The following is a 16490-nucleotide window of genomic DNA, read 5'->3' on the forward strand; positions in this document are numbered from 1 at the left end:
AGTATAAGGCCATCTTTTTATATCAGTATCCTTAGGACTTTCCTGGTATGTTTGTACTCAATTTTCAGTAATGGGGAGGGGAAGTGTCCTCAAATTTGATATGTAAACTTTTACTTAATTCTACCCATGTAATTGCATAGGATGAGTTTTCTTAGGTTCTTTCAATGTAAAGAGAAGGGAGGGGGGACCTCTGAGCTCTGGGAGAATTGTTATGATCACCCTGTAAAAGAAGGAGGGATTCCAATCTAAAGTTTGGTTCAGATGTTGAGACTGATGATGCCACACACGCAAGAAAAAGCTATGGAAAGGTTTATTACTTACAGAATTGAGGTCTCTAGGAAGAGTAGGGCAGACCTCTCAAGCAGATCCTAAATGGCTTGAAAGAGCTAGGAAAGGAGACTGAAATGGGTGTTTATTGCTGTTAGGGGATGATAGCCCAGGTGAAGGTTCACTTGCAAAGAGGATTGCATGGTTTGAATCTCCCACCAATGCCAAAGCAGGGAGCCCCCGAGCTTATCAGCTTGTGTAGATGTGGGACACAAGAGGAAGAAGGAAGGTGAAGGTTAATGAAATTAATCCTCATTACAGGAATGCTCTGGACAGAGGGCAGAACATTTAAGAACAGTTTCCACTTTCAGAAAATGTTACAAGGGGGGATTGTCTTACCCAGGTCTGAGATAGAGAAAGACTTTCATTTGAAAGCTCCAATTTTCCTTTTGTATGGCTAATGATGAGGCCAGGAGTATGTAGGTGATTCTACTGCTAGGACAACTTGTTAAATGACCTTTCATATGCAGTGGCTCTCAGAGTGTGAGAGATCACCAGCAGCATCAGCAGCTCCAGAGAATTCATTACAAATGCAAATTCTCTGGGGATGAGGCCTTACAATATTGGTTTTAACAACCCTTCCCGTGATGCTAATACTGTGCTCAAATGTGAGGACTTTAGATGTAGAGTATGCAAGTTAATCCGAGTCTGGGAAGGAGCTGGAGAACTAAATGGCACAGTATCATGGGCATAATGAAAGAAAAGGACTTTTGAATTTTTTTATTGGCAGGTAGAAGAGACAGAAAGACAGGTCATGTCCCTGGGAAGAGCAGGTACAGGGGAAGATTCCTGGAGAGAGGAGAGGAGCCCCGCAACATAGCAGGAGGCTAGGGTCTGAGGAGGAAGAGAGCTGGTGAGAATTTCCAAGAGGTAGGGATGGTTAAAGAGGTCTTAAGATGGTGATGTGTGACACTCTGCTTTATGCTTTCTATGTTGTAATATTCCTCCCTCAGTCATGAGTGGTCAGTGGAAGTCAATTATACTGGCCAGGCGTGGTGGCTTACGCCTATAATCTCAGCACTTTGGGAGGCTGAGGTGGGCAGGTCACTTGAGGCCAAGAGTTCAAGACCAGCTTGGCCAACATGGCAAAACCCCATCTCTACTAAAAATACAAAATTATCCAGGCATGGTGGCACATGTCTGTAGTCCCAGCTACTTGGGAGGCTGAGGCATGAGAATTGCTTGAACCCAGGAGGTGGGGGTTGCAGAGAGCTGAGATCGTGCCACTGCACTCCAGCCTAGGCAACAGAGTGAGACTCTTTCAAAAAAAAAAAAAAAGAAGAAGTCAATTATACACAACTAAGCTGTATGTATTAGACAGGGAGGAATGAAGGAGAAGAGGTCAAGAAGGAAAAAAAATTACCATTACTCTGTGCAGAGAGAGGATGTCTTTTTAATTTTTTCTTATCAATGCATTCAGTATTCACTGACTGACTGACTAAATAAATGAAATGTCTGAGTACTTTTAGATTTATGGAAAGGACTTAGGCCTTTTCCAAAAAAAAAAAAGAAGTAATTTGTTGCCTTAAGCATATCATGTATTAAAAATAGAAATAAATAATGATTATTATGTATTTTATTTTTTAAAATGCAGATAGCAAAATATGTGAATCCCTTTATATAGACTAGCTGTATAAATTATGTATGTAAATTCCTTATAGAGTGTACCTATTTCTATAAATGTTTATATAAACTATAGTGTCTACATTTTCTTTGAAAGTTGTTAAACTCTTATTCCTATAAACAGATGTCTTATAAGCTTTTAGAATACTTTTTCTCATTATTTTAAAAAGTTAAACATTCTTATTAGGGATTATTGGAAAAGAAAAATAATCCAAATGGAATAATTAAAGTTATTCATAACAATACACCTAGAAATGACAGGAATCATGTAGAGTTGTATAGTTGGAAGGGCCCCTCTGTGTTAATTACATACCTGTTATTTTACAGAACTCCTTGCCATCCTAACTTCCAGTTCAGGGTCTTTCCTTCCACACATTTGTTTATTGATTTAGACCAAAACATCAGCATTAATTGTTATCCCTCATCACTGTATTAGTCTATTCTCACATTGCTATAAGGAAATACTCGAGACTGGGTAATTAATAAAGGAAAAAGGTTTAATTGACTCACAGTTCTGCACGGCTGGGAAGGCCTCAGGAAACTTACAATCATGGCGGACGGGGAAGAGGCACGTCTTACATGATGACTGGTGAGAGAGAATGCACATGTAGGAGAAACTGTGAAACACTTATAAAACCATCAGATCTTGTGAGAGCTCACTATCACAAGAACAGTATGGGGGAAACTGCCCCCATGATCCCAGGTCCTGCCCTCGACACGTGGGAATTATGGGGATTACAGTTCAAGATGAGATTTGGGTGGGGAGACAGAACCTAACCATATCGATCACTTTGCATAGTTCTCCATCATTACCATTGTGGTAGGAAAAAAGGCCCAAACCCCTTCATTGAGGAAGTGATGCTCTTGCACGTGTGACTTTTTTTTTTTTTTTTTACTATGTCTTTCTTGGTACAGATGGCCCCCAACATTTGGTGGTTTGACTCATGATTTTTCAACTTCATGATGGTGTGAAAGTGATATACATTCAATAGAAATGACACTTAAAATTTTGAATTTTGATTTTTTTCCTGGGCTTGTGATAGGCGGAAGGATACTTTTACACAATGCTGGGCAGCAGAAGGGAGCTACCATTCCCAGTCAACCAGCTGATGATGAGGGTAAACAGTAATTCCATCTTTCACTTTCAGTAAAGTATTCAAAAAATTACATGAGATATTCACACTTTAGTATAAAATAGGCTTTGTGTTAGATGATTTTGCCCAACTGTAGGCCAATGTAAGTGCTCTGAGCATGTTTAAGGTAGGTCAGGCTAAGCTATGATGTTAGATAGGTTAGGTGCATTCAATGCATTTTTGACTTACGATATTTTCCACTTAGGATAGACTTATCAGGACATAACCGCACTGTAAGTTGAGGAGCATCTGTATCTGTGGATCTCACTCTGTGAATTCATCCACTCTTCTGGCTTCCATGAGCTGAGGATCCTCAACCTATTTTTGAAGCCCAAATTTCTCTTCTGCAATAATTTATTTCCATCTGTCCTTTTGAGATTTCTTTTTGGATGTTTTTCTGTTTCCCCATAGTCTTTATTTCAAGAATGGAATTCTGGTTTCCTCCAGCATGCTCCAAAAGAGTTCAGGTCTCCTGACTTAACTATTTGTGTTTGTGTCACTGCCATTGTGGTAGGAAAAGAGACCAAAATCTCTGATGAGATTTATTCTCATCACTCATGTGGTCTTCCAACTATGTCTCTCATCTCTGATCTGATCTACTGAGGCCCCTTGATTGTTCTTTCATACTAGCATCTGTGCTGATTCTTTTCTGTTTTTTATTGATCCCCTCACACCTGGATCATTGTGATTGTCTCATGAATGGCCTCCCTACCTTGAGTCTCTCTTCCCCTCCACACTGCACTTCCAAGTGCTGCGGAATTAACCTTGTAAAAATATTACTCTTACTCTGTAATTAACCTGTCCAGGAACCCCTGGGGGCTTCCTATTGCCCAAAGGGTAAAATCCACAGTCTTTGTCCCGGTGACCAGCTCTTCTGCAATGGACTGGCCATCCATCCTTCAACCTCATCTTCTTCTATTTTTCAATGAAAAAAATCTCTGTAACTAGGATGGCCTGCTTCTGGTTTTTGAATTCTCCTGGCTTATTCTCTCCTTCATGGGAGATTATATTGAATAAGGCTCTCTTCTTCAATTCCTATTCTAGATGCTAACATTGTATTTCTTCTGAATAACCTTTTCTGATCAACTAACCCACAGATATTTGTTTCTCATTTGAGCTTATAAAGCACTTGTTGTTCCATGAATTGGCTCTTAATCATAGAATAATAACACTATTCTCTGAGTAACTACTATGTGCCAGGCATTGTTCTAAGTCTCTCTTAGTTCATTTAATCTCAGTCAATCAGATGAAGTAAGTATAATTATTATATCCATTTTGCAGTTGAGAACAGAGGTACAGACAGGTTAAGTAACTGACTCAAGGTCATAGGATGGTAGAACTAGGATTTGAATCAAAACAATCTGGTTCAGAATCTGCCCTCTTTTCCACCCATACTGCCTCTCAGTCTACACTGCCTTCGATTGTTATTTCACTCTCTGTTTGTGCGTGCCCATTTTTATGTGTGTTGCCTTCCTAAAGAAAATGAATGCCCCTTGAAGGCAGGAACTATATCTTATATGCATTCTCTAAAAGGCTAAGCAAAGAGCTATGTGCTTAAATAAGCACTGAATGTGTGTTTGATTTGAATGGATTATGGAACCTTTTTTTTTCTTTCCTGAGATGATATAGCTAACTTTTTTTTTTTTTTTGAGATGGAGTCTCACTTTGCCACCCAGGCTGGAGTGCAGTGGCACGATCTCAGCTCACTGCAAGCTCCACCTCCCAGGTTCACACCCTTCTCCTGCCTCAGCCTCCTCAGTAGCTGGGACTACAGGTGCCCGCCACCAAGCCTGGCTATTTTTTTGTATTTTTAGTAGAGACGGGGTTTCACTGAGTTAACCAGCATGGGCTTGATCTCCTGACCTTGTGATCTGCCCGCCTTGGCCTCCCAAAGTTCTGGGATTACAGGCATGAGCCACCGCGCCTGGCCAATATAGCTAATTTTTATGATTTGAAAAGATAGTCTCAGAATCAGATTTGACTAAGTCATGATGAAGAGAAAGGTAAAAATCAAGTGGTGAGCCAATGTCCTGGCCTCACCTCTTGGGTTCAGTGAAGTTAGATCATTTCACAAATTACACTGTGTCATGTCTGAAAAGTAATGAGGGCTTAATGAGCCCACACAGTTCTTGCCTTTTTTTTTTTTTTTTTGTAGTGGGTGAAATGTGAACTTGGTTAAGACCTGTATGTCGGCAAATAAGAATTAACTAGCCTTGACTCTAGAAGTTGCAGCTGAATAACCATGATTGAAAATGCAATTACTCTTTCCCCCTGTGTTTTTTTTTTTTTGTTGTGTTTTTTTTTCTTTCCTTCTGAAGCCAAGTATGAGTTGGAGGAAATGTTTGATAAAATTTTCCTGTATTCTCAGTGGGTTCTCACTGACAGGCTGTTCAAGGAAAATTCAACAAAAATGCCTGCCATACCACGAAGAGGCAAACAGCCAGAGGTATGGTGGACAAGATATGTCTTTTAACACTCTGAATTGTATGTATTACATGGTTACTTAAAGCTGTGTCATAACTTGTAACTTTTGTTTTTTTTCTCTCTTTAGAAGGAACTTTCCTCAGAAGCGTTTCAGATTACTTTAAATTACTTATCAGACCATGCATACTGGGTAAAACTGTCTTTCTTAAGAGCCATTCACGTTTAAAATGTGGACATGGAGCTCCAACCCCATGCCAGCTGGGTGTTTTAATAGCAGTTTTCTGGTATTTTTCTAGTACTTTATAAGTGAAAGGGGATTCTTGTATTTATTTTGTGATTATTATTAGCCCAAATAAAATTTGCCTCTTGCAAAGCACCAGTAGAGAAAATAAATCATTGAACATTGATTGCAGGTCATGAACTGCAGAGCCTATTGGGCAAAATATAGGGGATCAAAAGAATGTGAGCCTGGTCTTGCTTGGTAAAAAAGGCATTTACCTTCTAGTCATGAAGGCAGGATTGGAGCTGAGGCCCATCTCCTTCAGCCACACATTCTTCTTTCAGACATCTCAGCACTCTTGATAATATTCAGCCTTTGTTTATACTCGGTAGAGCCTAGATTTGATTTCCAGGGTTTGTCTTCCTTCCCTGACCTGAGAGAAAATCACTCCCAAGGCTGCCAGTTGTGGTCTGTAGGTTGTGCACCTGACTGGGACTGTGTAAGGTTGCCCAGTGCCCAGCCTGCACATCGACACATGTGGGCCCTGACCATTGTGTCCAGATGATTTCTGCCAATCACCAATCTTACTTATTCTGTGTTGATGTCATAGATTTAATACTCAGAGTTCTAAAGGAGGATGGCCTTACTTTTAACCCCATGTACTAACCATAAAAGATACAAAGTAAACGCCAGGCACGGTGGCTCACACCTGTAATCCCAGCACTTTGGGAGGCCGAGGCGGGCGGATCACGAGGTCAGGTCACCAGCCTGGCAACATGGCGAAACCCTGTCTTTACTAAAAATACAAAAATTAGCTGGGCATGGTGGCGCGTGCCTGTAATCCCAGCTAGTAGCGGGGCTGAGGCAGGAGGATCACTTGAACCTGGGAGGTGGAGGTTGCACTGAGCTGAGATTGTGCCATTACACTCCAGCCTGGGCAACAGGGTGACTCCGTCTCAATTAAAAAAAAAAAAAAAAAGATACAAAGTAAAAAAAAAAAGCAGAAGTTAATTATAAATAGACAATAATATACTAAAGATTAACTGACCTGGAAAATGTATCCTCAAACTTTGGGCATAAAACCACAATAGTGAAAATATGCTCTAAGAATCAGAAGTTTTTTCTTCTCTTACTGGTTTAGTTATTTATTAAGATGCTGACCCTGAGTTATTTAACCTGTTGAAGTCTATAAGAAGGGGAAAAACACCTGGCCTACCTGCTTCCCTGGGTGTGGTAGACAGAAATGCTGGCAGCATATGTAAGGCCCAGTTTTCTTCATGGACACAGGATGTAGGGGTGGTCTGGGAAGAGCTTCTCGGCGAAGGAGAGTCTTGAGCTAGTATTAAACTTTGAATCTTGTGTATTAGACTGGGGCTGTTGGAACCCAGGAGCCACATTTCATAACCCTCTCTGCCTCAAATACTCAGCATGTAGTTCTGAACTCCATGTTTTTGGAATGAGTGGAAAAAATACATAAAATTGAGCATATATTGATCTGAGCCCTCAAATTGTTCAAATGAACAAATATATTCTTAGAATCCTTACTATGCATTACTTACTAAATGCCAGCCATGGAGATAGGCGCAAAATGTGAACAATGAGCAAAACAGAATAGTCTTTGCTCACTGTGCTGGTAGGGCAGGATGTTTAAAAAGTGATTCAAAAGGTGTCAAGTATTACAAGGAGATGTCCAGTTGCATAATTAAGAGTCTGACAATTGCTGATTTTAAGACTATTATTTAAATACATTGAAATACATGAGCATAAAACTTACCTCTAAAAGGAATTGTTGAAACAAAACTAGGTAATTTATATGATTTACCATAGATTCTTATTTTCCTCTTAAGGAGAGACTTGACTTGATTGTAGATTCTTCTTCTTTTCTTTTATTTTTTTTTGATACAGAGTCTTGCTCTGTCACCCAGGCTGGAGAGCAGTGGGGCCATCTTGGTTCACTGCAACCTCTGCCTCCAGGTTCAAACGATTCTCATGCCTCAGCCTCCTGAGTATCTGGGATTACAGGTGTGAGCCACCATGCCTGGCTGCTTGTAGCTTCTTTATGGTATTTATTTGTAGAGACCTAATGCATGATAGAGAGAGGATAGATTTTCCCAGGAACAACTAGTGGAATTGTGAACTTAAAGTTATTTTTTAAGCATTTATTGAACATTCACTAAGTGCAAGAAGATACTAGCCTTGCCTTTAGAACTGCACTGTCCAATTCAGCGACCACTAGACACACATAGCCATTGTGCACTGGAAATACGGCAAGTCCCAGTTAAGATGTGCTATAGATATAGAACCCACTTTGAATTGTGAAGTCCTCATACAAAAAAGTAAACTATTTCATTATTAATGTTTTATACATTATATATTAAAATGATGTTTTAGATATATTAGATTATATACAATATATTAAGATAAGTCTTACATATGTATGTATGTATACTATATACAATATATTAAGATAATATACAATATAAAATTAAGATTATATACAATATATTAAGATAAATCTTATCTGTTTCTTTAAGTGTGGCTACTAGAAAATTGAAAGTTATGTGTGTGACTTGCATTTGTGGGTCAATTATCTTCTTACTAGACAGTGCTTCTTTAGAATTTAATAGAAAGAATGACATGTCACATCATTGTAAGTCAATGGGACAAGTGGTTTAAGGGGGGTACCTATGAAGTATGGAGAAGGGTGCAGCTAATGAGCTGGTGTGCTCAGGAAAGGAGGCAAAGAGGTGGACTATGAGATAAGTTTTAAAGGCAGAATAAGATTTTCCTAGATAAATTGTATAGGAAGGCAAGTCAGGAGGAGAGAGAAGTTGGCCTAAGAACCTAGAAGCAGTAGTAGGAAACAATAGAAATACTATTTTCACAGTTGCCCATGATTTAGTTAAAATGGTGTATTACTAATTTAGAATGGTTATTATTGATTTGTCTTGTTATCTGAATGACAACAATATTTTTCTTATAAAAACTACTCAAATATCATGCATGCATTATCTCAGGATACCACCAGATGGTGCTGTGTTCTAGGATTGAAAAAGGCTGGCAAGAAAAAGTGGCTCTCTGTCTTGACTATCAGTGGTTCCTAAACTTTTCAAAAGGGCACTGTGATCATTTTTAGGCTTGCAAACCCAATATGTATATGTCCAATTAAAAATAAATTATATACCTAATATTGCACTAATATATTGTGGCAATTATAAGACACACCTATAGAAAAATTGAAATATAAAAGGCTATGATAGACTGAAGTTTTAATATTTCTTTCCTGCACTACAGTGAATCTTTTTTGGGGGTTGCATATCCCTGAGGTGTGTGCATCTGCCCTTTGAGAACACTGGTTTATTTTACAATTGTTATATAATTTAATTTTTTTTCATCTTTATAAAGATAAAGGTAACAACAAAAAATATAAAACAAAACTTTTTTTACTACATGTACGTATTCAAATATGGATCACAGTTACATATCAAACCATTTAAAGCACTGAAACTAGAAAAAGTTAAGACTTTTTTTGCTTGGGGATATTTATATTTTTCAGTTTTAAACCAGATTTGGTGTAATATATCAGAATCATAAATGGAATAAAATAGCAGACCAAGTCTAAATTTTTTTCTGTTATATATTTTTTTGTTTAAAAATCAAAAATGTTAACTTTAAAAAGCATTAACAACCAAGGCAAACAAACAAAAGAATGGGTATGAATGCCAATGGTGCCCATATCAAATAAATATGTAGAATTGAATTTTTCTTTGACTGCTAATTTTCCTTTTGTTTTATTAATTTATTTATGTATTTATTTGGAATTGAATTTTTTAAAACCATAAAAATCTCCAAACAAAGAGGAAAACGTTCTGACTTTATCAGAGGAATACAATTGCAGTTTTCCCTGATTTTACAGAACTATCTCTGTATAAAGTTTTTTTCTTGATTTATTTTTTTTGGTTTTTTATTTGCATACATTTTAAGAAGTACAAATGCAGTTTTATTACATGGATGTATTGCATAGTGGTGAAGTTTGGGCTTTTAGTATAAATATCACCTGAATAACATGCATTATATCCACTAAGTAATTTCTCATTCCTTACCCCCTCCCACCAACCCACCCTTTTGAGTCTTTAACGTCTATTACTCCACACTCTATGTTCCTGTGTACACATTATTTAGCTTCCACTTATAAGTGAGAACACGCTGTATTTGACTTTCTGTTTCTGAGTTGTTTTACTTAAGATAATAGCCTCCAGTTTCTCCATGTTTTTGCAAAAGACATGATTTCATTCTTTTTTATGGCTGCCTAGTATTCCATGCTGTATATATACCATGTTTTCTTTATCCATTCATCCATTGATGGATACTTAGGTTGATTCCATAACTTTGCTATTGTGAATAGTGCTGTGATTAAACTATGAGTGCAGGTGTCTTTTTTATATGATTTCTTTATTTTGGGTAGATATCAGTAAATCCCAGTAGTGGGATTGCTGGGTTGAATGGTAGTTCTATTTTTAGCGCTTTGAGAAAGCTCCATACTGTTTTCCATAGAGGTTGTACTAATTTACATTCCTGCCAACAGTGTATAAACATTCTTTTTTATCCCTATCCTCATCAACATCCATTTACTTTTTAGTACTGGCTATTCTGACTGGTGTAAGGTAATATGTCATTGTGGTTTTAATTTGCATTTATCTGATGATTAGGGTTGTTAGGCATTTTTTCATATGCTTGTAACTTTTGGATTTCAGAGAACAGGTGATCCTTGTTAGTTAGGTGATCTTCACTGGCCAGATGATTCCCCCGGGTCAGGCCATCCCCTGGTCAGGTGATCCCTGCTTGTCCAGTCAGCTGTGGTGGAGGCAGAGTCTGGATGACAAGAGTATAAACATGAAACCCAGATTTCAGGGAATAAGGATTATGGGATAGGTAGAGACTCCAGCAGGCATCATCTAGAGCAGGGGTCCCCAGCCCCTGGGCCTTGGACTGGTACTGGTCTGTGGCCTATTAGGAACCAGGCTGCACAGCAGGAGGTGAGCGGCAGGTGAGCAAGCGTTACCACCTGAGCTCCGCCTTCTGTCAAATCAGCTGTGGCATTAGACTCTCACAGAAGCCCAAACCCTATTGTGAAATGCGCATGCGAGGGATCTAGTTTGCATGGTCCTTATGAGAATCTAATGTCCTAATGCCTGATGGTCTGAGGTGGAAGTTTATTCCTGAAACCAACTCCCAACCGCCACCCCTGGTCAATGGAAAAATGGTCTTCCATGAAACTGGTTCCTGGTGGCAAAAAGGTTGGGGACCACTGATCTATAGTAACTCCTGGTAATTACATCTGTATGATATTTTAAATCCGTTTTGTAAGACATGTACAGTGTGGTATCGATAAGGATGCTGGATTGCAAGCTATTGACCTTGGTAATCATTATGATACTCATGTGACCACCTTACTCATTAGTCTGAATTCATCTAGATACAAGCATAACACTAAGTCTCCCCATTAAAATCAACAAATCAATCAATTCATCCATAAAAAAAAGAACATTAAGGAAAGCCAGATAAACAAAAACTGGTTACATGAGTATCATAATGATTACCAAAGCAATGAGTAGACATGGTTTATCAAAGTGAGGGGCAGAATGTAGGGAAGAAAGCAAGCTGAGGACTCACTGAGGCCAATAAAGGATCTACTTTTCTGCCAACCACAAACCAGGGTAAGTAAGAGTGTTAGGCCATTAGGTTGATAAGTAGCAATAACTTATTGTCCATGTCCTTGATCAATCAGTTGTGTATTAATAAAGGAACAATTTTGAAAACCTCTTGCAATTGACCTCTGGAGTGCATTTGCTGTTTGCTTTGGTCCTTGGCAGTAGCTGAGGAGTGGAATTTACCGCCCTCTTTAGCAGCACTTACAGAGAAAGTCATGCCCAAGGGATTCTGTCATCCCAATTTTATTCATTGAATCAGGAGGAAGTCAACATCTCCATAGCTTTGGGGGTTGGATTCTGTCAGAATGAGGTGAATGGAAGACCATGTAGATCATTTCTATTTATTTAAAATTCAAGGCCAGACATAATAAAATAAGAGGAGCTTGATAAATTAATTTTTGCTTCCTAGGAAAGCACTGTCTTAGAACCTGGCTCACCTGATTTTGCCGATGAGTCAACTTTGAAGTGTGCCTCATTCTGGAAAGTGAATCACGTAATCACAGTAAGTTACACATATACAGGCATAGATGGCTCCTTGATGCTATATTTAAGCCAGTGTTGTACCATCTTTTCTGTCTGCAATTCCTGACATTTGTCAGATGAGGTCAATATAAAGGTATGCACTTTTTGACAAGGACGTGGTTGTCATGTTAGCTTCTTATGCCCTTAACTGCCATTTTGAAGATCAAGTTTAATTTCCCAGTCTTTGGATTGAAGAAAAGCTCAATTCCCAGTTAGCTTTACATGGCTACAATGTTATGACACACTTCTATTGAGAAATATAAAGATAATACCTATGATTGACATTAGTACTTTCATGGCTTTGTGTGTAGGTTACATGGGTGTTATACAATGATATCTGTAATGCCACTAGACCAGTCTCCGTTACTTCTGCTTTAGTTGTTTTATTAGTCTGTTTTGCCTTGCTATACAGAAATACCTGAGGCTGGGTAATTTAAAAAGAAAAGAGGCTTGTTTGGCTCACAGTTCTGCAGGCTGTATAAGCATGGCACCAGCAACTGCTTGGCTTCTGTGGAGGCCCCTGGAAGCTTCCAGTCATGGTGGAAGGTGAAGGGAAGGCAGGTATGTCACATGTTGAAAAAGGAAGCAAGAGAGAGGGGAGGGAGGCACCAGACTCTTTAAACAACCAGCTCTCACATGAACTAATAGATCAAGAACTCAGTTTCACAGGGAATTCCTGAGGGCTCCACCCTCGTGACCCAAACACTTCCCACCAGGCCCACCCTCCAACACTGGGGGTCACATTTCAATGAAATTTGGAGGGACTAACATCCAAACTATATCAGTTGTAATTGATTACATTAATGGATTTTCACTATTTTACTGGTTGCACTTAGGATAAAAGTTAAAGGATTTTAATATTAGCCTATGACACATGTTAGCTTGGGACAGAACCGAGCCTTTAGTATCAACCAAACTACCAGGCAACATGTGACTTTTTTTTACATGGCAGAATATACTTCATTGTATTTCCACGTTCTGCAAAGTTTTTTGGGGATAGGGCACTGATATTAATGAAAATTTTTATTTATGTATCATGTAAATATTTAAATTGTTTAAGTGCATTTTGGCATTATGCACTTCATAAATATACACAATGTTATAATTGTTAAAAATATTAGGTAAAAAATAAATATAAATTGTAGTTATGATCATTTCTTTTTGCCTACTCTGGGGGTATGTGCGCTCTATTTGGACTTCTCTATCAAGGTCACAAAATCATGATTAGATCCACCTTTCATATAACTAGGGAAATAAAAACAAACCAATATTACCATTCTGGAAGGAACTTTTCTGAGTCTTTTTGTCCAACTACTTGCTTTTTAGGCACAATTAGGAGGTTGTTTCTAGATAACATTAATAATTGATTCTATGTGGTTTTCAAAGTTCTAAATTTTAAAGAACTCACTCAATCATGCGTCAGAGTATAATTATCCCAAATAACTGGAAAAGCATATAAGTGATGACATGACTGTGATTCATTTCCTCTGTGTGGTCATTGTCTGACTCTGTGGAATCAAATGTTCATTTGAGAGCCAGGGGTGCCTGGGACCTGGGAAAAATGCACCCCTGCCCAGGATCCTCATTCTGTGAGTCACACACACAAAACCAAGGGTTGGTGAGTGACAGCTAAGACCAAGGTTGGAACCTACTCATAGGAGAAGCTTCATTTTGTTCTTCTCCAGCAGCGCCTATATAGCCACTTCTAATCTGCAATTCGAGGGATGGAAGGGTGTATTCAGTTTTTCTTCCCTAGTAATTTGAAACCAACTTGATAACAGCTTGTTCAAATGAAGAATGGATAGAACATCTGTTTAAATCAACTCTGAGAGGCAGAAACGGAACTTTTGTGTGCCTAATATTCCCATTGGCTAACCCTGTCCCTAAGCCTCCGTACCATGGCTTCTGAGAGTTTTTGGCCAAATGCCTAGTGGGAGGGCATGGTCCTGTTGGGAATGGTTTTTCTGCTTGGAGATGGCTTTGGCTTAGCATCTTTCTGTTCTCCAAGGCTGTTTACTCTGCCACCTATCCAGAAAGAATTTTTTTTTATGAGTCCACAATTTTTCAGTCCTGGAAAATTTTACAGTGTTTTCACAGACATTATTTCATTTGATGTTCATAATCCTTCAGGGTAAATAGGGTAGGTTGCTGGTGTCCGCGCATTATGGATAATGAATCAGAGATTCAGAGAGGATAAATCTGACTTCTACTCCAAACAAAAAGCAGAAAAATTATAGCAGAAGAAGCATATATCATTCTAGTTTTCAGCATATCTAGATTAATTCTGATTCATTTTTAATTTCAGCTGAATATGTTGTGCTTTCTCTATTGCTATCCTGGGGTTCATTTAGGGTGGAGCCACCTAGACATCATATACATGCCTTGGCTGCATTTACATCTCACCCCTCCTGCTTCCCCAAGTATAATCACCCCAGTGCTATGAAACCGATTAGAAGAAAATGAAGTGTTCAGTGCTAACTCCAAAATTCCAGGTGCTATGATACTGCTGCATACATCCAAAGGGACTTCTTACTTTAAGAAGCCCCCTTTTAAATGAAACTCTTGACTTCTTAGTGTTGCCTCAGAAATGTGCTCTTCATTGCAGAGAATATTACAGAGAATGTTCTGCTGCTTTGTGGAGGAACCATAGGAACTGTGCACGATCTTTCTTACCACAGAGTCACAAGGAGAAAATTGGCAGCTTAGGAGACCAGCCAGCTAAATGAAATGTCAGCCAACAAACAACTTAAATGCTCTTGGATCATTTTTCCTCTACTTTATCAAGTAGTTTTAGTTTGGGGGAAGTCAACAATCTTCTATGTTGCTTCCTTACTCAAGATTTCTCTGTCTCTGTCTTCTGAGGCATTTGTTTCTTTATGCCTGGATCTGCCACTTCACGTTTTGCCTCTTTTTCCATATCTACCTCTGACTCTATCTTCATCTTTTTCTCTCTCCCTTTATTTTCTTTATTTTTGGTTTCTCTCTTTCATTTTCTCTTATATTGTCTGTCACCTTGATTTCTATAAACACGTAATTATCACTAACAGATTAAAGAGCTTTATAAATGATGGTGAAAATTTGAAACAAATTTCTTAAAGAATCTTTGAATCATTGTGTGTGTGTGTGTGTGTGTGAGAGAGAGAGAGAGAGAGAGAGAGATTTAAGAGAGAGAGAGAAAGAGAAAGGTATTTATTGTTGACCTGTGATTTTCTCAATCCTAATCCTCAAATGAGAGTTGTAGAACTGGGATTGGAACCTGCAGCCAGCTAGGGACCACATCACACTGCCTTCCTCCTAGTCTCCAAACATATAACTGAAATATTATTGTATCTTGCTCTTAGTACCTCTCCTGTATAAATGCGCTCATGCATTTCTTTTCAAATAACTGTAATTCTAGATACATTTGCATAAATAGGATTAGAATCTTGCAAAAGTGTATTCTATCCAAAGGGTGTCTGCACAGGAGAAGGAGGCCAGCAGGTGTCAGTCTCACCTCAGAAGAAGAGCTGAGAATAGTTTCATTGTGGTTTTTCTTCATCGGAGTTTGCTTTTTTGAATGAACTTTCAAATAACCTAAGTTAAGTTCTTGTTTGTTTTAAGCAAACTCTGGGTTGATTTAAAAAGAAAGTAGGCTATCTCAACCTCATACCACCCCACAACCTGAGTTGTATACGGATTATTCTCTTGTTAAAAACCCAGCTATTGGATTGGGATATAATTTTATTATTGCTGGGCATCTGGGCATCATTTAATAGGTACTTTGAAATTTTTTTAATTGCATGGTAATTGAGTCATGATAGAGAAGTGTCCCTTTGGATGAGTGCAGCAGTATCATAGCACCTGGAATTAATTTTGGAGTTAGTCATCATCTGTACCAACCACACATTCTCCCACCCCATTTTCAGCTGAGGAAACAGGTTCAGAAAAGATTTGTTCAAAGACTCATGGCTGTGAGGAAGAGGGTCAGCATTAGGACTAAAATCAAGAGCCAAGTGGCTGAGTCTTTAATGAGCATATTCAGATTGACGGGGCAAAGCAACATCAGGCCCTAGTGGGCTGTCTGGATCTGCAAATGTTCACAAGTGATTATCTTCAGTGTAATCCCCATGGCAACATAGCAAAGTGCCTGCCGTAGCTGGATGAGAACTATGATTATGCTAGAGAAAGAAAGAAACTCCTAGGGACAGCTTGATTGAGGAGGGGTTGTTATGCATGTCGCCTCGCAGTGTTGTTTCTCCTTAGGCAGCAGTGGCAGCGATGTTTGAGAGGGGCCTATGGAGCTTGTTTACATAATCAACCGGAAAGCACTTGTCCATGTTGGTCTGTGCCCAGGGGCTGACAAGCAAGCCAGAAATCACTCTGGTTTGTGTTTCTGTAGTTCTTGAAGATGTTTAAAGATGGTCACTCCTCCAGATGATTTCTGCCATTTGCTATGGGGATCACCACACCCGAGCAAGCTGCAGAGCTTTAGGGTAAGGAACAGATGTGATGGTAGTTTTTCCAGAGTAAATGCTTGCCAACCTTGGCTGA

The 16490-nt window shown here is 38.8% G+C and overlaps 1 long non-coding RNA gene across 1 annotated transcript in view, besides 2 other annotated features; it reads left to right on the top strand.

Annotated features, from left to right (window-relative positions):
• Positions 1-16490, top strand: part of LOC101927189 (uncharacterized) — a 67686-nt gene that overhangs the window by 40929 nt on the left and 10267 nt on the right. The window contains exon 2 of the long non-coding RNA NR_125842.1: positions 11848-11940. This is a non-coding gene — a long non-coding RNA (uncharacterized LOC101927189). The remainder of the gene's footprint in view (positions 1-11847; positions 11941-16490) is intronic.
• Positions 6290-6494: a silencer, noted in NCBI's record as "fragment chr6:53841998-53842202 (GRCh37/hg19 assembly coordinates)". NCBI's record gives its function as "represses an EF-1alpha promoter that drives an FKBP-Casp9 reporter gene in an ReSE screen in HepG2 liver carcinoma cells {active_cell/tissue: HepG2}" and the evidence as "EXISTENCE:reporter gene assay evidence [ECO:0000049][PMID:32094911]".
• Positions 12717-13916: an enhancer, noted in NCBI's record as "P300/CBP strongly-dependent group 1 enhancer chr6:53848425-53849624 (GRCh37/hg19 assembly coordinates)". NCBI's record gives its function as "activates an origin of replication core promoter dependent on BRD2, BRD4, P300/CBP, MED14 and CDK7 cofactors, with strong dependence on P300/CBP, by STARR-seq in HCT116 cells {active_cell/tissue: HCT116}" and the evidence as "EXISTENCE:reporter gene assay evidence [ECO:0000049][PMID:35650434]".

Source organism: Homo sapiens, chromosome 6 (genome assembly GCF_000001405.40).
Source record: "Homo sapiens chromosome 6, GRCh38.p14 Primary Assembly".
Taxonomy (NCBI): Eukaryota; Metazoa; Chordata; class Mammalia; order Primates; family Hominidae; genus Homo; species Homo sapiens.